Source organism: Homo sapiens, chromosome 6 (genome assembly GCF_000001405.40).
Source record: "Homo sapiens chromosome 6, GRCh38.p14 Primary Assembly".
NCBI classification, from domain to species: Eukaryota; Metazoa; Chordata; class Mammalia; order Primates; family Hominidae; genus Homo; species Homo sapiens.
Window position 1 is genome coordinate 15277553 of NC_000006.12, and position 26077 is coordinate 15303629.

Here is a 26077-nt window from a genome sequence, read left to right on the forward strand (position 1 = left end):
TTGTCAGGAAGAGAGCTAGTAGTTAAACTGAAACAAAGGTCCGACAGTCTTTATTTTGCATTTTAAGGTACCTGTTGAAAATGACTAAACGTAAAATGGGACTTTTGTTAATTCAGTAGCTGTTACTGAAGCATTAGATTGATTCACCTGTTTAAAAGTAGTTATGAAAGACAACAGAGAACAGCTTTCTATTTGTCGTAACTTACTAATAGATAGCCAAGTCTGCAAAAAAAAAAAAAAAACAGTCAAGGATTCCATGTAGTTGCAAAAGGCAAGTTCAAGAGAAAGTTGGCAAAGAAAGATGGATAGATGGAGAGAAAGCAAAAGAAATCCTTTTTTTTGGAGAGAGAACACACTGTTGGAGTATGCTGTAAACAGTGTAAGGGAAAAACCCCATAAAAAAGGTGAACTCTGGTTGGGCGCAGTGGTTCATGCCTGTAATCCCAGCACTTTGGGAGGCCGAGGTGGGTGGATCATTTCAGATCAGGAGTTTGAGATCAGCCTGGCCAACATGGTGAAACCCTGTCTCTACTAAAAATACAAAAATTAGCATGCCTGTAATCCCAGGCTGAAGCAGGAGAATCCCAGGCTGAAGCTTGAACCCAGGAGGTGGAGGTTGCGGTGAGCTGAGATTGTGCCACTGCACTCCAGTCTGGGCAACAGAGTGAGACCCTGTCTCAAAAGTTAAAGAAAGAAAGGTGAGCTGGGCGCCGTGGCTCTGCCAGCAAAATTTCAATCGAAACACTGCAATGAGCCAGGCACTGTACCTCATGCCTGTAATCCCAGCACTTTGGGAGGCTGAGGCGGGTGGATCACGAGGTCAGGAGATTGAGACCATGCTGGCTAACACGGTGAAACCCCGTCTCTACTAAAAATACAAAAAATTAGCTGGGCGTGATGGCTCATGCCTGTAATCCCAGCTACTCGGGAAGCTGAGGCAGGAGAATGGCGTGAACCCGGGAGGCGGAGCTTGCAGTGAGCCGAGATCGCGCCACTGCACTCCAGCCTGGGCAACAGAGCAAGACTCCGTCTCAAAAAATAAAAAATAAAAAAAGAAAGGTGAGCTCTGTAATAGTGTAGCTGGCTGGTGAAAATAGTGTAGCTGGCTGGTACAGCTCAGCAGAGGAAGGGTCTGGGGGGACATGCTCCCCCATCCCTGCCAGTCTCATATCTGCCATACCTGCTGCGAGAGGAATTGATTGGAGGACTGGTTTGGGTGGAAATTGTCCAGCCGGGCTGGGCATGGTGGCCCACACGTGTAATCCCAGCACTTTGAGAGGCTGAGGCGGGCAGATCACTTGAGGTCAGGCGTTCGAGATTAGCCTGGCCAACAAGGCGAAACCCTGTCTCTACTAAAAATACAAAAATTAGCTGGGTGTGGTGGCATACACCTGTAATCTCAGCTTGAGGTTGAGGCATGAGAATCTCAAGCTCAGGTTGAGGCATGAGAATCACTTGAACCTGGGAGGTGGAGGTTGCAGTGAGCCAAGATCGCACCACTGCACTTCAGCCTGGGAGGCAGAATGAAACTGTGTCTCCAAAAAAAAAAAAAGATAAATTGTCCAGCTATTGTATAACAAAATTCATATATACATATATTCATATATATGGACAATAAATTGCCTTTTGTTTTCACCACTAAATACAGTGTGGTTGTGACCCTTAGTTTTGTGTATTCTGACTCACAGCTAGGATTTAAATTGGTCGAAGGTTGTGTGTATTTTCAACATTAGTGAAATACTGTTTTCTGAAATGGTTGGAGCACGTCACTCCTATCTGCAATGTCTGTGTCCCAGGTGATATGTATGCCCACTAGTTTGATTTTGTTGGCGGTGGGTAAGTTTTGTGAGCCTGACTTTTCATATGTGTATGGATTTACATGTTTAGCCCCATGGCACGGCTTACTGCTTAGTTCCAGTGATTCCCTGGCCTCTGGGGTCGTGGAAGTATGTGCCCAGGTGTATTACTCTTTATCTCCCTTCTTGCTAATTTATAAAAGCCTTTACTTCCATAAGTACTTGCCTGATTAACACCACTTGCATTAAAATCTTACTGTCACTTCCCTTAGCTTTCCCAGCACAACTTTCTTGTACTTCATTCATGTACACCATTATTAATTTGTACTTGTGTTAATTTGTCAGAGTTGATGAGGCACTACCCTCTAATCTCCCTACTGTTGTCATAGTTTTCTTTCTTTGAAAAACAGTTACTTTCCTGCTCAGGTTCTCATTAGCCCCTATCGTCTATGGGATAAAATCTAAACTCTTAAGCATTACCTAAGACCCTTCATTAAATCAGTCTCCTGGCACTTAGGAGGCAATCAGTAAGTATTGGTTGTTATCCTAATTTTGCATTCCATATTAACTTGCAGATCATCTGGATGAATTTGATTAAATCCCCTTCCCTCACTGACTTTATATTTCGGGAAATTTCATGTCTAGGGAAGTTGAAGGAATAGCATGAACATCTGGGGCACTTACCACCTAGACTGAAAAATTAACACCTGGTCGTATGTATGTATATTACCCATTGTCTACTTTCTTCTGTCAAATCCGTGACTTTGGAAATTTTGAAATAGTGCTCTTGGTTATCCATTAAAAAAGGGTAAAATAAACATGCTGTTGCTCCTGCTGCAGCACTTCAGTAGTAATAAAAAAAAACTTCAGTGACTTGGGTTTTTTTCTGCCAAAGTAAATGTTGGCTCTCTTTCAGATGTAGTAATGTTGCTTCTCTAAATTCGTTCGAGTTAAACTAAAGCAGGGCCAAGTTGAGAAATTAGTTTCTCGGTTTTTTCCCTTCCAATTTAGAAAAAAATTAAGTTTTGGATATTCTTGTTCCTGTAATTTTCTTCCGTGTTCCTTCCTCCTCCTGCATTAAAAAAGATCATAAAGATTCAGCTAAGATGTCAGTGAAAGGAACAAAGATCCAGCCTTTTACATTCTTTATGTGGAGTTATTGTTGGTAGTAATCTTAAAATAGGGTGTTTGAATCCATGTTGAGGCAGTTAATTCAGTAGTACAGTTTCTTGTTAACCACAAAATGCTAAGTAAAGGTAAAGCCTTATCCCCACACCCTGCTTTTTTTTTTTTTTTTTGAGATGGAGTCTCGCTCTGTTGCCCAGGCTGGAGTGCAGCGATGTGATCTAGGCTCACTGCAGCCTCTGCCTCCTGAGTTCAAGCAGTTCTCCTGCCTCAACCTCCCGAATAGCTGGGATTACAAGAATGAGCCACCACCCCTGGCTAATTTTTGTATTTTCATTACAGATGGGGTTTCACCATGTTGGCCAGGCTGGTCTTGAATTCCTGACCTCAGGTTATCCTCCTGCCTTGACCTCCCAAAGTGCTGGAATTACAGGCATGAGCCACCGTGCCTGGCCAGCCCCTTAACATGTGATTTTTGCCTTTTTGTGATTTTTGTCTTATGCTGCAAAATACGCTTGCGTTATTACTAGCTAGGAAATCCAAGCAGGTATCACACCGTGCCGTCATATGAGTGATAACTGGGAGTTTTCATGCATTAGCTGGTATTTGACAGGTTTGCAGGTATGTTAGAAAGTTTCAGTGTGTCAGTGTTTGGTGTGTATAAGCGTGGGAGAGCCCAATACGCATGTGAGATGCAGCTTCCAGTCAGTGCGCATATACCACTTGGAGGGCATGCTGGTTGCAACCCTTTTATTCTAATAAGGAACTGGTTTGGCTAGGTGAACTACGAAGTCATTTTGGATTTGACCCACACTGGCTGTGTCTCACTCTTTACTGCAGTTTAATTCATGTGATGCTATTAAGATAATAACTTTGTCCAAGAGCAAAAGAACGTGAATACATTGTGGTATGTGTGAATTCACAAACAACATTCAAGATCAGTTTCAGAAATGTTCAGAGCAAAATCTGAAGTCCCCTTATCTCCTATTGTACTGCCTTCCTCAAAAGTAAGCCATCAGTGGTTTGCACATCCTTCTAGCCTTTCTGTGTATTTACCTGCATACATGCATGTTTATGTAAACATACAGATGGGTTCCCCGCGTGGGGGGCCCCCCACTTCACTTGGGGCCTATTTATATAAATGGAATGTAAGGTTATGGCCTGTGATTTAGCTTTTTCTCACGTAACAATATCTCAAAGATCTTTCCATGCCATTCTATTTCATGCTGCAAGTAGCTGATAGGACTAGTGTACTGTAGTTTATTTAGCCACTTCCTTCTGATGACTTTCTTCCTAGAAGAGTCCTTGGCATTTAGGAGGCACTCAGTAGACCTTTAGGTTGTTCATGCTGTTTTGTTTGCTTTAAAACATTTCTGTCCATACACCTTTCAAACATATGGTAATATTAGCATATGATTGAATTGGAAGTGCAGGGTCCAGGGTATGTGCTCTGTGTGTGTGTGTGTGTGTGTGTGTGTGTGTGTGTGTGTGTTTGAGACAGAGTCTTGCTCAGTTGCCAAGGCTGGAGTGCAGTGGCATGATCTCAGCGAACTGTAACCTTTGCCTCCCGAGTTCAGACCATTCTTGTGTGGTAGCTGGGACTACAGGTGTGCAGTGCACCATCATGCTCGACCAATTTCTGTATTTTAAGTAGAGACCAGGTTTCACCATGTTGCCCAGGCTGGTCTTGAACTCCTGGTCTCAGGTGATCCGCCCACCTTGGCATCCCAAAGTGCTGAGATTACAGGCGTGAGCCACAGCGCCTGTCATGTGCTGTTTTAGAGTAGGAAGAAATTTTTTCCTTCCGAAAACCTTCAGCCAATCTACACACCCACTAACAGCATATGAGAGTCTTTATTTTCCTCCCTTCTTGCCAACACTTAGCATTATACAGCTTCTTTGGTTTTTGCTAATAAATATCACTCATCATTGTCTTAATTTGCATTTCTCTGTTCTCAGCCTTTTTCGTTGGTCTGTCAGCTGTCCATATTTTTTTTCTTCATAACTTTTATCCACTATTATATTGGGTTGTTGGTTTCTTTCTCTCTCTCTTTTGTTCTCTCTCTTTCTCTCTCTGTCTTTGTCTTTCTCTCTTTCTCTTTTGTCTCTCCCCCTCTCCTCTCTTTCTTCCTCTTCTCTTCTCTTTTCTTTCCTCAGTTTCGCTCTTGTTGCCCAGGCTGAAGTGCAATGGCGAGATCTCAGCTCACCGCAACCTCCACCTCCTGGGTTCCTATTCTCCTGCCTCAGCCTCCCAAGTAGCTGAGATTACAGGCATGCGCCACCATGCTCAGCTAATTTTGTATTTTTAGTAGAGACAGGGTTTCTCCATGTTGGTCAGGCTGGTTTTGAACTCCCGACCTCAAGTGATCGGTCCACCTCGGCCTCCCAAAGTGCTGGGATTACAGGCGTGAGCCACCCCGCCCGGTCTGATTGTTGGTCTTTTTCTTATGACTTTTTGTCAGAGCACTTCATGTTCCTGAAATCTATCTATCTATCTATTTTTTTATTTTTTTTATTTTTTTTGAGACGGAGTCTCACTCTGTTGCCCAGGCTGGAGTGTAGTGGCGCGATCTTGGCTCACTGTAAGCTCTGCCTCCCGGGTTCTTGCCATTCTCCTGCCTCAGCCTCCCGAGTAGCTGGGACTACAGGCGCCCGCCACCACGCCCGGCTAATTTTTTGTATTTTTATTAGAGACGGGGTTTCACCGTGTTAGCCAGGACGGTCTCGATCTGCCGACCTTGTGATCTGCCCACCTTGGCCTCCCAAAGTGCTGGGATTACAGGTGTGAGCCACTGCGCCCGGCCGTTCTGGTATTTATTGAATATGTCGCAAATATTGTCTCCTAGTCTGTCCTTTGTCCTTTAAGTATTTTTTTTTTTTTTTTTGAGATGGAGTCTCACTCTGTGGCTCAGGCTGGAGCACAATAGCGTGATCGCGGCTTACTGCAAGCTCCACCTCCTGGGTTCATGCCATTCTCCTGCCTCAGCCTCCCGAGTAGCTGGGACTACAGGCATGCACCAGCTACGCCCGGCTAATTTTCTTGTATTTTTATTAGAGACGGGATTTCACCGTGTTAGCCAGGACGGTCTCGATCTGCCGACCTTGTGCTCCGCCCGCCTGGGCCTCCCAAAGTGCTGGGATTACAGGCGTGAGCCACCGTGCCCGGCCATTCTGATATTTATTAAATATGTTGCAAATATTTTCTTCTAGTCTGTCCATTGTCCTTTAAGTATTTTTTTTTTTTTTTTTTGAGATGGAGTGTCACTCTGTTGCCCAGGCTGGAGTGCAGTAGCGCGATCACGGCTCACTGCAAGCTCCACCTCCTGGGTTCATGCCATTCTCCTGCCTCAGCTTCCTGAGTAGCTGGGACTACAGGCGCCTGCCACCATGCCCGGCTAATTTTTTTTGAATTTTTAGTAGAGATGGGGTTTCACCATGTTAGCCAGGATGGTCTCCATCTCCTGACCTCATAATCTGCCAGCCTCAGCCTCTCAAAGTGCTGGGATTACAGGCGTGAGCCACTGCATCCAGCCTCCTTTAAGTATGTTTATAGTGTTTTTTCTTTCATAGAAGTTTTAAATTTTTCTGTAGTTCAGTTTGGTTTTCTTTTATGGGTTTTATGTCTTTGCTTAGGAATGCTTCTGTGACGCCAAGAATACGAAAATGTTCTGAGAAATTATCTTTCTTTTTATTACCTCCCATTGAGCTAAACACCACCCTCCAGCTTGCACTCTCCCATCACCCTACCCACTAAATTGATATGGAATTTACTTCTCTGGAATCCTCAAAAATGATTTCTTCTTTCAGCCACATATTATGGATGTCTTAGGGTTTATTCCTGTTGAAGTCCCAAATGGTGTAATTTTTCAAGTCTTGGCATACATTGATTGTTATGTCCATCAGTATTCTGTGTTAAATAATGTTTTCATACATCCCATGGATATATAGGAAACAGCTCTGGGCTATACTCCAGAGTTCCCAGACTCAGGATCCACTTAAATAAAAATCTAGGTAAATTCCCTTTTAGTTTTATAATCCTTTTTTTTTTTTTTTTGAGACGAAGTCTTGCTCTTGTTTCCCAGGCTGGAGTGTAATGGCGCGATTCCGGGTTCCAGCGATTCTCCTGCCTCAGCCTCCCAAGTAGCTGGGATTACAGGCGCCTGCCAACACGCTTGGCTAATTTTTGTATTTTTAGTAGAGACGGGGTTTTACCATATTGGCGAGGCTGGTCTTGAACTCCTGACTTCAGGTGATCCACCCACCTCAGCCTCCCAAAGTGCTGGGATTACAGGTGTGAGCCACTGTGCCTGGCTGTTTTATAATCCTTCATAAGAAAGGACAAAATAAGGTTGAAAAAGAGTTAACATCCATTATGCTATTGTGTTTACTTTTGAAAGGCAGCAAACATAAAGCTAGGAGCTTGCCCTTCAACAAACAGCTTTAGTTGGGTCTGGTAGAGTCACCCTAAGAACTGGCTCTGCGCCCCTCACCTGGATTGCAGTCACTGCTTGCTCTCATCTGTTGTACATATTTAGCATTCATGAAATTTCTTTTAAATGATGTAACTGCTTTGAAAACATTTCAGAACAATTGCATTGAATTGAACTTTTGCATTAATGTGAGTCTTTCTGGGTTTTTTTTTTTTTTTTTTTTTGAAAGGAAGTCTTGCTCTTGTTCTCCAGACTGGAGTGCAATGGCACGATCTTGGCTCACTGCAACCTCCGCCTCTGGGGTTCAAGCGATTCTCTTGCCTCAGCCTCCTGAGTAGCTGGGATTACAGGCACCTGCCACCACGCCCAGCTAATTTTTGTATTTTTTGTTTGTTTGTTTTAGTAGAGACTGGGTTTTACCATGTTGGCCAGGCTGGTCTCCAACTGCTAACCTCAGGTGATCCGCCTGCCTCGGCCTCCTAAAGTGCTGGGATTACAGGCGTGAGCCACCGCGCCCAGCCGTCAGTGTACTTTAAGTATATTTTCATTATGCAATTAATTACAATATGGGAAGTCAGTTAACTAGGTTATTACTTTGTGAAGTAAAGTTAAACATCTGGTCATAGAATGACTTAAAAATGACAAATAAGGAAAAAAATACATATATATATATATAACATGAGGTAAAGTTAAACCCAGATAGAGGGTATCATTGCTTTCATGCGTGGACTTTGAAATTGCTTTTTATTCCTGAGACCTTTTCTAGTTCTCTAACATGTTCCCCAATAAACGAGGTTAGAGGATAACAATTCTAGAAAAGAAGGCAGCATCTCGTAAGTCATTCCACATTGCATACAGTAAGTGTGATTTCTAGCCATGCATCCTTTTAAAAAAATTCATCTTGCAATAAAAGAATTTGGAGAGCCTTTGGAATCTTGTATAAAGGAATTTTGCTGGCATAAAACATGCATTATGTATCACACTTGTATTTTAAAGCCCACTTGATGAAAGAGCAGCAGGTTGACAGTGGTTGACTCAACAACCTGCAATTTCTGATGTATAACTATGAGCAGTGGGATTATTCTTTGTAACTTGGTTATATGAAGTTTGAAGTTTTTCCTTTCAGTGCAGTGTTTCCTTTTTCTTGTTTGTTTGTTTCCTGAGTCTCACTCTGTCTCCCAGGCTGGAGTGCAGTAGCGCCATCTACAAGCCAATTGCTTGACTCTCCTTTGGGTGAGTGGCTAAGTAAGTTAACAAGTACAAACAACAGAAATGCTTTCTTTGAAAATGTGAGACTTCAATAATAGAATGTGAGTTAGAATAGCAATCTAATTTTATAATTGGAAGAATTCTTTTTTTTTTTTTTTGAGATGAAGTCTCACTTTGTCACCCGAGTTGGAGTGCAGTGGTGTGATCTCGGCTCACTGCAACCTCTGCTTCCCGGATTCAAATGATTCTCTGCCTCAGCCGCCCGAGTAGCTGGGATTACAGGTGCCCACCACCACACCCGGCTAATTTTTGTATTTTTACTAGAGACGGGGTTTCACCATGTTGACCGGGCTGTTCTTGAACTCCTGACCTCATGATCCACCCGCCTTGGCCTCCCAAAGTGCTGGGATTACAGGCATGAGGTACAGTGCCCGGCTCATTGCAGTGTTTCGATTGAAATTTTGCTGGCAGAGCGTGGTGGCTCACGCCTGTATTCCCAGCACTTTGGGAGGCCGAGACGGGCGGATCACGAGGTCAGGAGATCGAGAGCATCCTGGCTAACACGGTGAAACCCCGTCTCTAATAAAAATACAAAAAAAATTAGCTGGGTGTGGTGGCAGGCGCCTGTAGTCCCAGCTACTTGGGAGGCTGAGGCAGGAGAATGGCGTGAACCCGGGAGGCAGAGCTTGCAGTGAGCCGAGACCATGCCACTGCACTCCAGCCTGGGCGACAGAGCGAGACTCCATCTCAAAAAAAAAAAAAGCGCCTCTTAATAGAAGGTAATAGGAATAACAGCCATCCATATTACAACTGCTGCCTCTTTCCCATTGTCAGAAAAATAATAAATACAAAATTAGCTGGCTGTGGTGGCAGGCGCCTGTAATCCCAGCTACTCCGGAGGCTGAGGCAGGATAATCTTGAACCTGAGGCTTGAACCTGGGAGGCGGAGGTTGCGGTCAGCCCAGATGGCGTCATTGAACTCCAGCCTGGGCAACAAGAGTGAAACTCTCATCTCAAAAAAAAAGAAAACACAAACAAACAAACAAACAAAAAAACCCCTCTTGATCCTTTCTTTCCTTGTTCTCTAATCATAGGTTCTTTTTCCTAAAAGTGCTTTTGCAATCGGGTGAAATGTGTGACCCCTTCTTAAAATATTTCCAAATACTTTTTTAAGTAAAATACCCAGGATTACAGAGGGGACCCATGACATTGAAATATAGCCATCAAAATGATAAAGAACAAATTTGTGATATGGTAATATGTTTCTTTGTCCTTTGTTGAATAACAAGTCCTCATAGTGGGTCTAATTATTGTAATTTTAAAATAATGATGTTATTTCAAGATAATCTGCAACCACTGTAAATCAGTATAAGAGTATTTGCAATTTTTTGTGTTGATACCAAACTCACACAGAATTACATTTTTGGTGTGTGGCGTATATTCAAAATATAAGGGAATGTTACATTTCAGCAAGAGATTGGTGAAAGTGAATATGGGACTGTTTCCCTATTCAAGTTCACAGACTTCAGAACCTCTGAGAATCTCTTTTCCTTCTTCCTGCAGTTGCTGCCTTTGTCTGGAGCTATCCCACTGTTGTCAGGGGAGTCTTACCTTGGCCTTAGCTTCGGTGTCATTTCCTCGAGGAGACATGTCTAGGTTAGGAGCCCATGTTAAACATGCCCATAGCTGCACCCTCTACTCATTTCAGCACTTTGAATCATGGACATTTATGAAAAGCATTGTATAATACCCACTTCCCCATTTGTGAGCTCTGTGAGCTTTCGGGGTGTGGTGACTGTTTCTGCCCCATTTACCGTTGATCTGCCAGTACCTAGCACAGTGTCACAGGCAGCCTTTGAATACTTGTATCTTGGATGACACAAATAGCAGTTGAGGCAGATGGAACAAAGCTTGTGAGAAAAGCTCAGGAGGTGTGACAGTCCCAAAGAGTGACCACCACGGCAAAGGGGAAGGCACATTGGTGGTATGGTGGCATATTAGGCCATTCTTGGATTGCTCTAAGGAATACCTCAGATTGGGTAATTTATAAAGAAAAGAGGTTTAATTGGCTCTTAGTTTGCAGGCTGTACACAAAACATGGCTGCTTAGCTTCTGGGGAAGCCTCTGGGAGTTTTTGCTCATGGCAGAAGGTGGGAGGGGTGGGAGCAGGCACCTCACATGGTCAGGAGGTGGGGGTTGGAGAAAAGGGGAGATGCCACACAATTTTTAAACACCCAGATATCACAAGAACTCTCATTCACGATTGCTAGGACAGCACCAAGCCATGAGGGATCCACCCCTATGACCCAGACACTTCCTGCCAGGCCCTGTCCCCCAACACTGGACATTACATTTCAACATGAAATTTGAGTGGGGACAAATATCTGAACTATATCAAGCGAGTGCCCAACGTTATTACTTGTTTGTCTGAATCTTTGCAGTGGAATATAAGATCCACAAGGGTGGGATTTTATATGTTAGCTGTTTATAGTTTATATGAAGATAGTCTGATTGTTTCTCAGTGGCTCACACATAGTAAGTGGCCAGTATGTTTCACATGTATTATATCAGTGTGTACTTTATTCAGGCCTCAGCTTGATCCTTTGCAAAAATGAGGGAGTTCCCTCCTAAGACCCCTTTGAGCTTCTATTGAAGTCTTTTTCTTCTCTCTACAGTTAAAGGAGATCTTATTGTAGGGCATAACTAGGCCCTGTGGGGTTACAATGGTGAATCTTACTTGGATTTTGCCTCCTGGCGAGGTGAAGAAGGGTCTACCCTTAAAGCAGCTAGTAAGCTCTGGTACCCAAGCCGGAGATGAGTCAGCTTCTCTCGTTAGTGAGCAGTGGATAGTGGAGCTCAGACTGAGGGACTGGGGGCAAGGAGCAGGGGTGGTTGTCCAAGCCACGGAGGGAGGAGAAGTGTCACCACTGGGGACAGCACAGACAAATGAATGATCTTGATTGGGGTTGGTGAAACCCCGTTAACAGTTAATCCAACGAGGTGGCACTTGAGCTGGGGCTTGAAGAAGTGAATATGATTTCCTCCAGCAGAAGGGTAAGTCCAAGGGAAGCATCGAGGGACACAAGAATAATGAAGAGTCAGCACCATAAGGCAGGGCGAGAGCAAAATAAATAAATAAAAAAGAATAATGAAAAATAGTTAAGAATGGTGCATGCAGAACACTGTCAGCAGTAGTCTGGTGTCCTTCTTTTGTGGGTAACTGTCTAAAAAGAAAATCTTTTATTTTGTTACATAAAGCCAATTCTTCTATTTTTTAAATCGTTTGTTACTATTATATTAAAATAGAGACAGGTCTTGCTGTGTTGCCCAGGCTGGTCTCAAACTCCTGGGCTCAAGCAATCCTCCCGCTTCGGCCTCTTAAAGTGCTGGGATTACAGGCATGAGCCACTGCCCAGCCCCTTCTTACTCTTTAAATTGTAAAAAAAAAAAACCATGTTTTAAGGCCGGGCGCAGTGAGTCACATCTGTAATCCCAGCACTTTGGGAGGATGAGGTGGGTCACTTGAGGTCAGGAGTTTGAGACCAGCTTTGTCAACAAGGTAAAACCCTGTCTCTACTAAAAATACACACGGGCGTGGTGGTGTATTCCTGTAATCCCAGCTGTTCAGGAGGCTGAGGCAGGAGAATCACTTGAACCCAGGAGGCGGAGGTTGCAGTAAGCTGAGATGGTGCCACTGCACTCCAGCCTGGGTGAGAGAGTGAGACTCTGTCTCAAAAAAACAAAAATAAAAAACATGATATAATTGGGACAAGAAGCACTGTGTATTGCACTTGGCAAAATTGTGGAATGTACAAGTCACTAAACCACTTGTCTTCATGGAAAGAAGGAGGGAGAAGATTTTAAATTTTTCTCAGACAAATTAGTGAGCTTCTATTGCTGTATAATTGACAGTCAAATGCACCCATTTCAAGCATACAGTTTTGTTAATTATACATACCTATGTAATCACCACCCAATTGAAATAGAGAATATTTTCATTACTCCAAATGTGTTTCCTCATCCCCTCCCAGCCACTGTTTTGATATCTGTCACTATAGCTTGTCCATTATTTTCAGCATAATGGTCTCAGATTATTCATGTTGTTGTATTTATCAGTTCATTTCATTTCATTGCCAAATAATACTTCATCGTATGGACATACCACAATTTATTGATGTGCTGGCTGATAAACTTTAGATTGTTTCCCATTTTTGGCTGTTATTGCTGTGAACATTAGTGTTCAAGACTCTTTGTAGTCATGTTTTCCTTTCTTGTGGGTAAATACTTAGGTGTGTAATTGCTGGGCCATAAAGTAGTCTTTGTTGAGGATTATAAGAAACTGCCACACTTCTCCAATGTCCTTGAACCATTTTGCAAGTGTTCCAGTTGTTCCACATCCTTGACAGCTTGGTATTGTCAGCCTGACTGCTTTCTGTACACAGTTTGTAGGGTTAGTATTTGGCCAGAATCAATCTCATGTGATGAAGGGTTGCTGAATAGTTTTTGGATGTTTTTTTCCCCCCCAAGACAGTGCCTTGCGCTGTCACCCAGGCTGGAGTGCAGTGGCACAATCTTGGCTCACTGCAAGCTCCACCTCCCGGGTTCATGCCATTCTCCTGCCTCAGCCTCCTGAGTAGCTGGGACTACAGGCGCCCACCGCCACGCCCAGTTAATTTTTTTTGTATTTTTAGTAGAGATGAGGTTTCACCATGTTAGCCAGTATGGTCTCGATCTGCTGACCTCGTGATCCGCCTGCCTCGGCCTCCCAGAGTGCTGGGATTACAGGCGTGAGGCACTGAGCCTGGCCTAGTTTTTGGATGTTTAAAAATATTTTGAAAATTCACGAGGCCAGGTGCTGTGTGTAAGCCCAGCCCTTTGGGAGGCTGAGGCAGTGCGAGATCATTTGAACTCAGGAGTTTGAGACCAGCCTGGACAACATAGCAAAACTGTGTCTCCACCAAAAATTAAAAAAAATTAATCAGCCGTGGCGGTGCATGCTTGTAGTCTCAGTTACTCAGGACGTTGCGGTGGGAGATTGCTTGAGCCCAGGAGTTCAAGGCTGTTGTGAGCCGTGATTGCACCATTTCATTCCAGCCTGGGTAATAGAGCGAGACCCTGTCTCAAAAAAATAAAAATTCACATGAGAAGAAGTGTATAGTTAATGAAAACCATCTTGGTGAATGTGTTTATCATCTCCTCTTAGTTTAAAAATGCTCCTTTACTCATCTTCCTGAAGTTATGGACCTAACAAAAAAATCCCTCACTTTTCACACATGGTATAGCTTGCTATTACAGTGAAGTGAAGTTGTTAGGGGCACAATCTGTTTTCCCCTCCTGTTCTCAGTGACCTAACTAATCTGGTTTCTCAGCCTGCGTCAGGCTTGAAGGAGCGCTTAAATGAAGAAGGGGAGTTTCTTGGATGAGAGGAGGAGCCTTGGCCCTGCAGTGAAGGGATGCTGCAGGGATCCTGCTAGGCCAGAATCGCTGCATTCAGGAGCAGTGTGTGGGATGCGCAGCCAGACCCTTCCAGCCCAGTAGTGGTGGGACACCGTCTCTTGCACGGTGCCTACATGCATATTCTAAAATGTTGTTTTCTCTAGAAGTAACACAGAAACCACAGAAATGGAGAAAAGAAGTTAATCCCTTGTTCCACTACCCCACACAAATGTTGTAAATATTTTGCTGTAATTTTTTTATAGTTGTTCTTTCCTTCCATTCAAATATTTTTGTACTCCTACTGTATATACAATTTTTGTTTTTCTATTTTTTTACTGGACAGTGTCATAGCATTTTCTTATGTTATTACATATGTTCCATAATAACAAATTTTTTGAAACCTCTCTCATTGCCATCTTTTCTGAAACAAATGCCCTTCGATTTAGGTTTCATAATGGATGTTGTAGGTCTGTGTGATTAGGCTTTTTTTTTGAGTCTTGCTCTGTCGCCCAAGCTGGAATGCAGTGGCGCCATCTCGGCTCACTGCAAGCTTCGCCTCCCGGGTTCACGCCATTCTCCTGCCTCAGCCTCCCGAGTAGCTGGGACCACAGACGCCCGCCACCTCGCCCGGCTAATTTTTTTTTTTGTATTTTTAGTAGAGACGGGGTTTCACTGTGTTAGCCAGGATGGTTTCGATCTCCTGACCTCGTGATCCGCCCGCCTCAGCCTCCCAAAGAGCTGGGATTACAGGCGTGAGACACCGCGCCCAGCTGAAGCTTTTTATTTGATTTCTGTGTCCTTTTTTTCCATAATAGCAATTTTAACAGGTATGTAATTTTCTATACAGTGAATGTACAACTGCAGTTTTCTTTAACTATTACACAATGTTTAAAGATTTGTGTTTTCTTAGGATGGATTATCAAATATGGAATCTCTGGGTCAATGGAAATAGACATCTTAAAGTCTTCTGTTGTATTTTGACAAATGATTTGCCAGAAATGTAACACTCCTGAGTCCCGGTGAGGCTCAGAGAGCACCCCAGGGCCCACTGTAACATTTAAATATTAAAAATGGAACCAGAGCTAATTTTAGTTTAAGAAAGTTTAAGTTGTAATATTATGTATTTGTTTATGTTTTGAGACGAGTCTCACTCTTGTCACCCAGGCTGGAATGCAGTAGCACAATCTTGGCTCACTGCAACCTTTGCTTCCCGGGGTTAAGTGATCGTCCACTTCAGCATCCTGAGTGGCTGGAACCATTGGTGTGCGCCACCATTCCCAGCTAATTTTATTTTATTTTTTGTAGACACGAGATCTTCCTATGTTGTCTAATCTGGTATTGAACTCTTGGCCTCAGGCGATCCTCCTGCCTCCACCTTCCAAATTGCTGAGATTACAAGAGGCATGAGCCACCATGCCCAGCCTAAGTTGTAATATTTTTTTAGTTTGAACTAAAGGCAGGACACCTTTAGAAAGACTTATGTGTAAATGCAACTATAAAAAGTTTTACAGGGCACCAGTGCCTGCTTGGGAAGTTGATCTTTGTCTGTCTCTTCTCTGTGTGAGTAAAGCATTGTTTGATCCAGTGCTTGACTTTGCCATGTTCCTGTGTGACGCTTATGCCAAGTTGCAGTAGTCAGGACCTCTACTTCCAATAATAGGCAGCACCTGCCACTTACAGTATGGTCAGTGAACTGAGGGATTTGCACAGGCCCTTATTAGCCTGGCGTGGTGGTGGGCACCTGTAATCCCAGCTATTGGGGAGGCTGTGGCAGGAGAATAGCTTGAATCCAGGAAGTGGAGCTTGCGGTGAGCTGAGATGGTGCCACTGCCCTCCAGCCTGGGTGATAGAGCAAGATTCCATCTCAACAAAAACCCAAAAAACCTGCTAGCTCTTTGAAGGGACAGATGAAGGAATTAGTGGGCAGAATTTTTGAACGGATGTTGTAAATGTTTGTGATAAGGCCTTGTTAAATGTATTTCTATTTATTTAGTAAACACTGAGTTCTTAGAATTTTTCAGAAGGTTGTTCCTAGCCAGGGAGACAGGTATACAAACTGATCATTGGTATTAGGCAGTGTCATACAGGCAGACTTGACCTCTCTTGACCTCCTAAGAATGGTCCTTGAGACTGGATGCTTCCTTACCAGAAGATGAAGAGTCCTCACAGCCTGTGCCGGATTTCTCACTTTCTGTGGGAATGTGTCTCCCTGTTTCAGAATCAATTTGTGCTCTTTTGTTGTTCTGCTTAAGTGGGTATGTCATAGCATCTGGCCAACTCCTCTGCTATATTTGTCCTCTGAACACAAAAGGGTTGCATGCAGGCCAGTGGCCTGGCATTGGCTGCCAGGAGGGACCTGCTGGTCACAGGGCACCAATGCCTGCTCCGGAAGTTGATCTTTCTCTATCTCTTTTCTGTGTGAGTAAAGCATTGTTTGATCCAGTGTTTGACATTGCCATTTTCCTTTGTGACTCCTATGCCAAGTTGCAGTAGTCAGGACTTCTACTTCCAATAATAGGCAACAGCTGCCCCTTATAGTATGGTCAGTGAAGTGAGGGACTTGCACAGACCCTTTTGAAAGCTTCCAGGAAAAGGAAGGCCAACCACTTTAGGTTAGGTGCACCCCAGAGGGAAGGGAGTGCCCTTTTTTTCTTTTTTTGAGATGGAGTCTTGCTCTGTTGCCAGGCTGGCTGGAGTGCAATGGTGTGATCTTGGCTCACTGCAGCCTCCACCTCCCGGGTTCAAGCGATTCTTCTGCCTCAGCCTCCCGAGCAGCTGGGACTATAGGTGCGTGCCAGCACACCCGGCTAATTTTTTGTATTTTTAGTAGAGATAGGGTTTCACCGTGTTAGCCAGGATGGTCTCGATCTCCTGGCCTCGTGATCCGCCCACCTTGGCCTCCCAAAGTGCTGGGATTCAGGCATGAGCCATTGCAGTGCCTTTTAAAGGATGAGAAGAAATTAGGTAACAGGTCACAAGGTTAGAGAAGCAGAGTGAAAACCTGCTTACCCTAGCAAGTGAGGAGGAGTGAAAGTGCAGGGCCCAGTGCAGTGTTGTGTGTGCGTGTGCATCACATACAGATTTGCTGGAGTGGGGAGGTTGATGCAGGACATGGAAGGGAGATGAGGCTGGAGAGGTAGAACTTGCTCTGTCGGGAGTCAAGAACCAATGAATTGTAGAACCAATACATTGTACACTTAAAGCTGGGGTGGCGCGTATCCCTGATGTCGTGTGACTTTAGTGTGAGGGCCTCAACCCAAGTTTTGCATATAGTGAGTGATACAAGGGAAGGACTTTGTCTCCTGGAAGATATCTGGGAACTTGGGACAGAGCAGGCATCCTGGAGCAGAAGCTGTTTTAGGAAGAGAGTGTAATGAATTGAGATAACTTTTTCTTTTTTGGTGGATTAATAATTTCTTGAAAAAGGAAACCTATAAATCCAAATTCAAGAATTTAGATAACCTGAGAGCGATTAGAAACTGCCTAGCAAGGTCTTTGCCTGGTATAGAACCATCTTATTACTTCATGCAGACCATTTGTGTGACCAGATGTGTCATTTCTTTTTTTTTTCTTTCTTTTTTTTTTTTTTTTGAGACGGAGTCTTGCTCTGTCGCCCAGGCTGGAGTGCAGTGACGCCATCTTGGCTCACTGCAAGCTCCGCTTCCTGGGTTCACGCCATTCTCCTGCCTCAGCCTCCCAAGTAGCTGGGACTACAGGCGCCCGCCAACACGCCCGGCTAATTTTTTGTATTTTTAGTAGAGACGGGATTTCACCGTGTTAGCCAGGATGGTCTTGATCTCCTGACCTCGTGATCCGCCTGCCTCAGCCTCTGAAAGTGCTGGGATTACAGACGTGAGCCACTGCTCCTGTCATTTCTAATAGTAATTAGAAGTTAATTTATATAGGTAATAAGATTTGTGGAGTAAAGCATTTTAGGGCCATTTCAACGGAAAACAGTGGTTCAGCATTGGCATAGGTGCTCTGTGATGTAATGGAAAGAATACTGCATTTATTGTTGGAAGTCTTGATTGGAAGGAGATTGCTGTATGATGAAGACCGGTTTCAGAAATACATGTTTCAATACTGAATAGGCCCTTTGCCACTTAGGGTTATTTATTTATTTATTTATTTTTGAGACGGAGTCTCGCTCTGTCACCTAAGCTGCAGTAGAGTGGCACAACCTCGGTTTACTGCAACCTCTGCCTCCTGAGTTCAAGTGATTCTTCTGCCTCAGCCTTCTAAGTAGCTGGGACTACAGGTGTGCGCCACCATGCACAGCTAAGTTTTGTATTTTAGTAGAGATGGGGCATCACCATATTGGCCAGGCTGGTCTCGAACTCCTGACCTCATGATCCACCCTCCTTGGCCTCCCAATGTGCGGGGATTACAGGCCTGAGCCACTGTGCCTGGCAGGGTTTTATACTTAAAAACCATTTTATACCTCACGCAGAGAAAGACCAAGGACTACACCTGTCCAGCCATTTCGTAAGGCTAGACTCTCGTGCACAAAAGTATTTCGGTAATTTTTTCAACCTCCTTTATTTTGTGATCTTGCTTCTTCTCAACCCAGAAAAGATGTTTCCCTTTAAAAATAGTCAAAATCAAACACCAGTGCCTTGGTCAGTAACATTTTTTACTTCTTTGAAGTAAATGCTATTGTTTTTTTATTCTTGGCATAATTCCTAGCCTAAGTTGCTGCACTTGGGCATTTGTAGCGTGCATTCTAATAGAATCATTTTGGGAGTATTTGAACGTTGTGCTAGAGAAGACTGCAGCAGCAAATCAATATAACACGATATTCTCTGCATCTCTCAGAGCTCCTGGTGGCATTTATCTTCCTTCATACTTTTTTATTTGTTCTTACTTAGTTTGTGGTTATGTTTTACGAGTGGTTTTTTAATGAAAAGTTGCAAAACCTAGTACAAAGATTTTCCCAAATGTTAACCATAGCATATTTGTGTGACAGTATTCTCTCTCCCTTATCCCTCCCCATCATCCTCCCCGCAACACATAGTTTTTATAATTCTGAACCATTTGAGAATATGTTGCAAATATAATATCCCCTTATCACCAAATACTTCAGTGTCTATTTCCTAAAATTAAGGATATTTTGTTCCCAAGCCATAGTTAACAATGAGGACACTAATACTGGGAGGCCTTAAAGCTGCTACCCGTGTCCCTGTAACATGTCCCCATCGTCCTCTGAGCTCTTACTTCCTGACAGACACATTAAGGTGTTGTAGGCTCATCTTGGGTGTTCCCAGCCCCCTGTCTTGATCACTTTATGGTTTTTGATGCTGTTGTAAAGGTTTTGTTTCTTAAATTTCATTTTCCATTTTGGTTTCCACTGCAGTATTCATAGCACCTCAGGGCTGGCCCTGTGGCCTTATCTTGGCTTCCTGCTTACATCCTGTGACTGTCTCCATCCTCAGAGTGTCCCCTCCTAGTTTGAGTAACTGCAGTGAATCTGAGAAGTCCTGCAGTCTTTCCAGTCTGTCCTTGTCATCTAAAACATCTCCATAGGTGTCGTGACAACCAGATGTTTGTAGGTATTTCTTTTTAGTTGTCATTCATTGACTGCTTATCTGGTTATTATTATTTTTTAAATTATAATTTTTTTGAGAAGGAGTCTCACTCTGTTGCCCAGGCTGGAGTGCAGTGGTGTGATCTTGGCTCACTGCAACTACCACCTCCTGGGTTCGAGCAGTTCTCTGCCTCAGCCTCCCGAGTAGCTGGGATTATAGGCGCCGCCACCACGCCTGGCTAGTTTTTGTATTTTTTAGTAGAGACGGGGTTTTATCGTCTTGGCCAGGCTGGTCTTGAACTCCTGACCTCATGATCTACCCGCCTCGGCCTGGGATTACAAGCATGAGCCACCGCCCGGCCTGGTTGTGTTTTTATAAGTCAGGGTCCTTTCCCAGACCTCCACATACAGCACTCTTTTTTTTTTTTTTAAACTAAAAGTGTTTTTTTGTATGGATGGGATCTCGCTGTGTTACCCAGGCTAGTCTTGAACTCCTGGCCTCAAGCAGTCCTCCTGCCTCAGCCTCCCAAAGCACTGGGATTTACAGGCATGAGCCACCGTGCTTGGCCAGCAACTAGCTTGTTAAGGATGTTTGGCCCCTACTCAGTGGGGTTGGTAAGCTCACCTCATCCTTTCCTTTACAGGATCTGTGGCAAATCCTAGCCCCCTTTGAATCCTTTTCAGACTTCGTTTCCCACAACACTCCTGTCAGAGTTAGCAGGAGAGTGGAAACAAGTACTAGATTATTTAGTAGACCCTAGATTTTCTCTACAAATGTAAAATGTTATTTTTACTGTTGAAAATCAGCATATGTGTAGTACAGAAAATTTAGGAAGTGGAAAAAGAAAAAAAAAAAGACTGGGAAACTACAACATTCTTAATGCCCTCTTATATTTATTCAATGAAATCTATGCACAAGTAGATCTAAGACAATTGAGTCAGGTTTAAAATGTAGTATGTTTTCCTTTCCTCTTCTTAGGAGCTCTTTAGCAGAAACATAGTAGCCAAGACATTTTAGGGAGCTTACCCAACTTTTTCTTGATATGTAGCAATAGAAAATGGTGTAATCAGAATGCAGTCAAAATTGCATTTGAATTGTAGTTTAAGTCATTTCTTTTTATTTGATTAATTTGCTTTATTAAGTATCTTCTGGATTCCGCTCTCCTATGCTTGCAAAATAGTAAAAGAGAACAAATTAGAAAGAGAAGAAAATATTTTCGCGAGAAATGACTGCTAGTTTTCATTAGCAGTTGTTAGTGCAATGACAGTTCTGATAAGGTTCCCAAGAGCACTCATTGCTACAGTGAGAACTCAGAATTCCATGGGTATCTTTTCGGGCTCGGTGGTTCACGCCTGTAATCCCAGCACTTTGGGAGGCAGAGGCGGATGGATTATCTGAGGTCAGGAGACCAGCCTGGCCAACATGGTGAAACCCCGCCTCTAGGAAAAATACAAAAATTAGCTGGGTGTGGTGGTGCATGCCTCTAGTCCCAGCTACCCGGGAGGCTGAGGCAGGAGAATTGCTTGAACCCAGGAGGCAGAGGTTGCAGTGAGCTGAGATCATGCCACTGCATTCCAGCCTGGGCAACAGAGTGAGACTCCATCTCAAAAAAAAAAAAAAAGAAAAAATTTCCTTGAGTTTCTTATGTTTTGTTAACTTTCTGTTATTTGTACGGTTGAAACCTCAGAGGATTAGGATAATTGCCTTTTCCAGTTTCCCTGAGCTGCTGAAAATAAACTTTCATATTTTTACTCTCCATACTCAGTATAGTTTACATCTTTAAAAGTGAACATTTATACATGTATTACTTACAAAAACACTCCCTTCTCTCAGTAAAGACCCAAATCAATCCACTAGCAAACTAGAACAAGAGAAGTTAGTGCTGGGTATCCTTAAATGTGTTCTGAGAATGATTTTATTTGCGGGGGTGGGGGGCGGGTGGAGCAGAGAGGATGCTTTGGTGGTGAAATAATTTTGGGGTGCTTGGGTTCTAAGAGGATCATGGTGTACACGAACACATCTGAAGGAAAGAAACCTGGCTATCTGTACCCGACATTTGTCAAACTTCACTGACCCGTGAGCCTTAATTTTGAATACAACCCCTTGGACATAGGGTTCTCTGGAGCCTCCTTTGAGAAGGACCAAAGTCTTGTAAAGAACGTTGAGTGTAGTTTTTGTCCCTGCTGCCACCACCTAATTTGTAAGGATGAGGGCATCAGTAGGTAGCTTGTAATCTTCATTGGGTTCTCAAATTTTAGGTGTGTGTACAACAGAGGTGTGTTTGGTAGAGGAAGGGATGACTGGGATCATGAGTTAAGGTCTTGCATACTGAGGTGGTGGGGCAGTTTCAGAGGGAACCAAAACATTTGTTGAGTCCCAGCTTTTCATCAGGACTCCTGTGCTTTGTGTCAGAAATAGATGCCATCCCTTTTTCTGTAGGAAGGAATTTATAGTTTGGAGAAGGTAGAGTTGGATTTGGAACCTCAGTTGGCCTGCGTTGAGAACTGCTGGTTTCCTGCTCAGTTAGGCCAGTTAGGGGGAAATAAGAAGACTGCCAAAACCTGTGGCTTGTGTCTCAGTTCCCTTTCTCCAGCCACTGCACCAGAGTTTGGGCGCCACACAGATGGTTCTCAGTGGCAGTTCGCAGAGCGGTCCTCATTTGGCCGGAAGCTACTCAGGCAGCCTCTGTTTCCTCACTTCAGCGGGGTGGGCTTGGGTGTGGGTGAAAGAGATAAGATATTTAGCAGTGAGTCATTTTTTTCTGGTAGTTTGACCTGGTTGCTTTGAGGATGATTGCTTCATCCTTTCTCGTACTTTACCCACTGTCCCTTAGGAAAATGGGGGTCCTGTCCGGCCAGTGTTGTTGGTATCTCAGGCCCTGTGGATGTGGGATTCTGCATATCTCTTGAACTGCCTGTTTCCTCCCAACCTCCAAAAGGTTATAATGTCCCCATTCTTCTATGAGTGACCAACATGGAATGCCATGTATGCTCAAAATATGATTTCTCATTGGCCCAGTGTTTGTAAGAAGAAACCTCTGATTTAGGGTGTGCTTCTTTATCTCCTGCATTTGGGGTTGGGATAGGCAGAAATCTGTTGGAAAAATTTTCCGCAGTGAAGGTTGGATGGGTGTTCTGTCCTGTTTTTAATTCTTTGACCACAGGACCTTTTCTCTTGTAAACACTTAAAAACCTCTAAGGCTAATGAGCAAAGCCTGGTGTGATGTATATTTTAAGGAAAGGTGTATAACAATACATGTGTACAAGGAGGGAAGCGGAGAAGGGCATGGGAGTAGAAGGGATCATTCCCCTGCAATTGGATAAGTGACATTTAAGCTGCATTCCATGTAAGCTTTTGGGCCTGGAAACCTTCCCCTCCCATCTTCCTGAGATACTGTGCTTGTTGTGAGCTCATTCAGAGTAATAAACTGTACCCGTAATTCATGAGCTTGCAAGGCCTTCTTTAACCGCTTGCAGCCAGGAGACTAATGACAACATTTAAAATTATAGATTGCTCATTTTGGAGTCTATCTGTTTCGAGTTATGAATGAAATTTCTTAGCCACTTACTGGACAGTAGAACCTGTTTGCAAAGACCCAGTGTCCTCATGTTGTGTGTGTGTGTGTGTGTGTGTGTGTGTGTGTGTGTGTGAGAGAGAGAGAGAGAGAGAGAGAGAGACAGAGAGGAGGGGTGGAGAAAGGGAGCAAGCAGTCCCCCCTTTATGTATGATTCTTAGAGGTGTTACAGGATGCAGTAACCATGAGGACTCTGGTGTTGCACAGAAGTTGAATTCTTACTTGGAAAGTTTAGGTCTGGGACGGAAGGGTGACAGAAAAAGGTTAAGGTTACCCACACTCTATCAGTGGTAGTTATCAATGAGTGACTGTTGGTAGACAGCAAGCAAATGATACTGGGGTAAGAAGGTTCTGGATATGAAAGAACTAGGTAAGATTGCAAATGTAGTCTCTCTATAAACCAGATACTCAAAAGCAAATGTTTAAAGCAGCGTATAAGTAACTGGGTTGTCCATAACTATTTCAGAAATGGCTACAATTACTCAAATCCCAGGTCTTTAAAAATTCCAAAGGAACAGCAAGGGCCACATAAAGAGGAAAATCTGCAAAATGGTAGGGTGGTACCTGAGTTAGCAAATGGGAACTTGAGCTCTTCTTTACTATAAAATTTTTTTCTTTTTTCACAGAGTGCCGAGAGTATTAGCAGACCTTTAATGCATTTGGAAGTGACACCATATTAATCATGTGGATTTCACTTTCTGTCATGAGTTCTATACATTTTGGCTTGAAATCAGTCATCAGTGTGATATTCAGAGGTTTACTACATCTCATTCATACCTTTATTTTTTTTCTAGCCCTCTCACCCGGGTTTCATCTGAGTGACTAGAAGTGGCGTTTATTTATTGACTGTGGAGGTTAACTTACACTGATGGATGATTGCAGTCCATTTTCCACTAAGCGAGTATTACATGAAATGAGTATTGTTGACCACATTTTATTTTCTCTTGTGGAATTAACTCAATAGTCTGTAAGTCCTTAAAAGTAGTTTTTGTGGGGTAAGTCTCTTCCTTTTCCCATAGTGATTTGATAGGAAGACTGAGTGAAAAACAATAGTTGTCTTGTATATTTGAAACGTGAGGAAAATTATGTGGATACTCAAGCATTAAATTCAAATCAGTAAATGGGGCTGCCCTCTTTGGTATGTTGGTAAACATGTTTTATTATTAGCTTGAGAAGGAAATGCCTGGTATAGTGACTAAGACTGTAATAGGGAAAGAGAACTACTTTTCTGGAGCAGTAAAAGTTTTGACTAATATAGATGATCAGTGTTTGTGAATTTTACGTTGGTATGTGTTTTTGGTCATTGGTAACTTAACAGAAAAGTATATGTCAAGAGAAAGAATAGTTTATAGCTCTTTGGACATAGGAGGGAAACGTGATACCTTTTCATCTTTCTGAATGAAAGATGATGATTCCTGATCTCAAGTCTTCATTTTACAGGTATTTTACCATTATTACCAACATGTTACTTGAAGAGTAATGAAGAGGCCGGGTGCAGTGGCTCATGCCTGTAATCCCAGCACTTTGGGAGGCCGAGGTGGGCAGATCACCTAAGGTCAGGAGTTCGAGACCAGCCTGGCCAACGTGCTGAAACCCCATCTCTACTAAAAATACAAAAATTAGTTGGGCGTGGTGGCGTGCGCCTGTAATCCCAGCGACTCAGGAGGCTGAGACAGGAGAATCGCCTGAACCTGGGAAGCGGAGTTGCAGTGAGCTGAGATTGCGCCACTGCACTCCATCCTGGGCGACAGAGCGAGACTCTGTCTTGGGAAAAAAAAAAGAGTAAGGAAGAGAAAGCTTTCCATTGTTGACTTAGTAGTTCAAAGCCTAATGGTGTTTTTGCCTTGATAATCAGGAAGATTTATTCCTATGCTTTATATTGATTGTGGTCACTGTACTTTCTTTTACATGTTTTCTTACTTTGCTAGATTTGTTAATTTTTACGGTGACCCACTTTTAGTTAAGTGAGAATTTCTTTCTAAATCAGGCTGTCCATTGCCTAGGATAGCCAACCTTAAGGCAAAGGATAACATATAACCTCATTTTGTATCTGTTTATTGTGATCACAGGTTATTTGGTGGTTATTTATTTTTTATTTATTTTTTGAGATGGAGTCTTGCTATGTCGCCCAGGCTGGAGTGCAATGGCGTGATCTTGGCTCACTGCAACCTCCGCCTCCTGGGTTCAAGCGATTCTTCTGCCGCAGCCTCCCAAGCAGCTGGGATTATAGGCACCTGCCACCATGCCCAGCTAATTTTTGTATTTTTTAGTAGAGACTGGGTTTCAGGTTGGTTTCGAACTCCTGACCTCAGGTGATCCACCCACCTCGGCCTCCCAAAGTGCTGGGATTATAGGCATCAGCGACTGCACCTGGCCCAGGTGGTTATTTTTCAAAGTGAGCAATGGTTATTAAGTTAAATGACACAGGATTTTGAGTAAATTCGAAGTTATGCCAGGAATTATAATCCTAATTGATAATTTATAAAGGTAGCCTACAGAATTTTAGGTCTTACTGTGACAAACTAGTAGCAACTGGTTCCTCGACCAGCTTTCTGGTGGAATGTGTGATGATGATGTAAGGCATTCATCCTATAGGTAGCGCACCTCGAACTTGAACATTCATAGGCATCACCTGGGGATCTTGTTGAAATGTTGCACATTCTGGGGTTCATTCTGTTTCAGGCAGGGCCTGAGGGTGTGCCTTTCAGATAAGCTCCCAAGTATGCTACTGCTTTGCCTTGAGTAGCAAGGCTATGGGCAGTAATCCTGCACGGGCAGTGTGGCTGGCCAGAGGCTTATTGCCTCTCATGCAAAGCCACTTAACTCCTGGCCTTCCCTCTTTGGTGGGTGCTTTTTAAGCCTTAGGGCTTCTTTAAAGTCCAACATTTTTGTTCATAGGCTTTCTATACATTTATTGGAAGCACTGTTTAATATGCTTCTCACCTCTTTGCCCAGCCAAATAATACCCAATGTGAGAAGAGT

The 26077-nt window shown here is 43.4% G+C and overlaps 1 protein-coding gene across 14 annotated transcripts in view, besides 6 other annotated features; it reads left to right on the plus strand.

Moving 5' to 3' along the window:
- The window catches only part of JARID2 (jumonji and AT-rich interaction domain containing 2), a 275974-nt gene that overhangs the window by 31484 nt on the left and 218413 nt on the right, over positions 1-26077 (plus strand). The gene's annotated exons all lie outside the window — the stretch shown is intronic.
- Positions 3021-4001: an enhancer, noted in NCBI's record as "H3K4me1 hESC enhancer chr6:15280804-15281784 (GRCh37/hg19 assembly coordinates)". NCBI's record gives its function as "activates a minimal SCP1, AML or CMV promoter by ChIP-STARR-seq in naive H9 embryonic stem cells {active_cell/tissue: H9 hESC(naive)}" and the evidence as "EXISTENCE:reporter gene assay evidence [ECO:0000049][PMID:30033119]".
- Positions 10194-10243: an enhancer, noted in NCBI's record as "active region_24068". NCBI's record gives its function as "activates an Ori minimal core promoter by ATAC-STARR-seq in GM12878 lymphoblastoid cells {active_cell/tissue: GM12878}" and the evidence as "EXISTENCE:reporter gene assay evidence [ECO:0000049][PMID:35858748]".
- Positions 10264-10313: an enhancer, noted in NCBI's record as "active region_24069". NCBI's record gives its function as "activates an Ori minimal core promoter by ATAC-STARR-seq in GM12878 lymphoblastoid cells {active_cell/tissue: GM12878}" and the evidence as "EXISTENCE:reporter gene assay evidence [ECO:0000049][PMID:35858748]".
- Positions 14082-14583: an enhancer, noted in NCBI's record as "H3K4me1 hESC enhancer chr6:15291865-15292366 (GRCh37/hg19 assembly coordinates)". NCBI's record gives its function as "activates a minimal SCP1, AML or CMV promoter by ChIP-STARR-seq in naive H9 embryonic stem cells {active_cell/tissue: H9 hESC(naive)}" and the evidence as "EXISTENCE:reporter gene assay evidence [ECO:0000049][PMID:30033119]".
- Positions 19309-19398: an enhancer, noted in NCBI's record as "active region_24070". NCBI's record gives its function as "activates an Ori minimal core promoter by ATAC-STARR-seq in GM12878 lymphoblastoid cells {active_cell/tissue: GM12878}" and the evidence as "EXISTENCE:reporter gene assay evidence [ECO:0000049][PMID:35858748]".
- Positions 19429-19478: an enhancer, noted in NCBI's record as "active region_24071". NCBI's record gives its function as "activates an Ori minimal core promoter by ATAC-STARR-seq in GM12878 lymphoblastoid cells {active_cell/tissue: GM12878}" and the evidence as "EXISTENCE:reporter gene assay evidence [ECO:0000049][PMID:35858748]".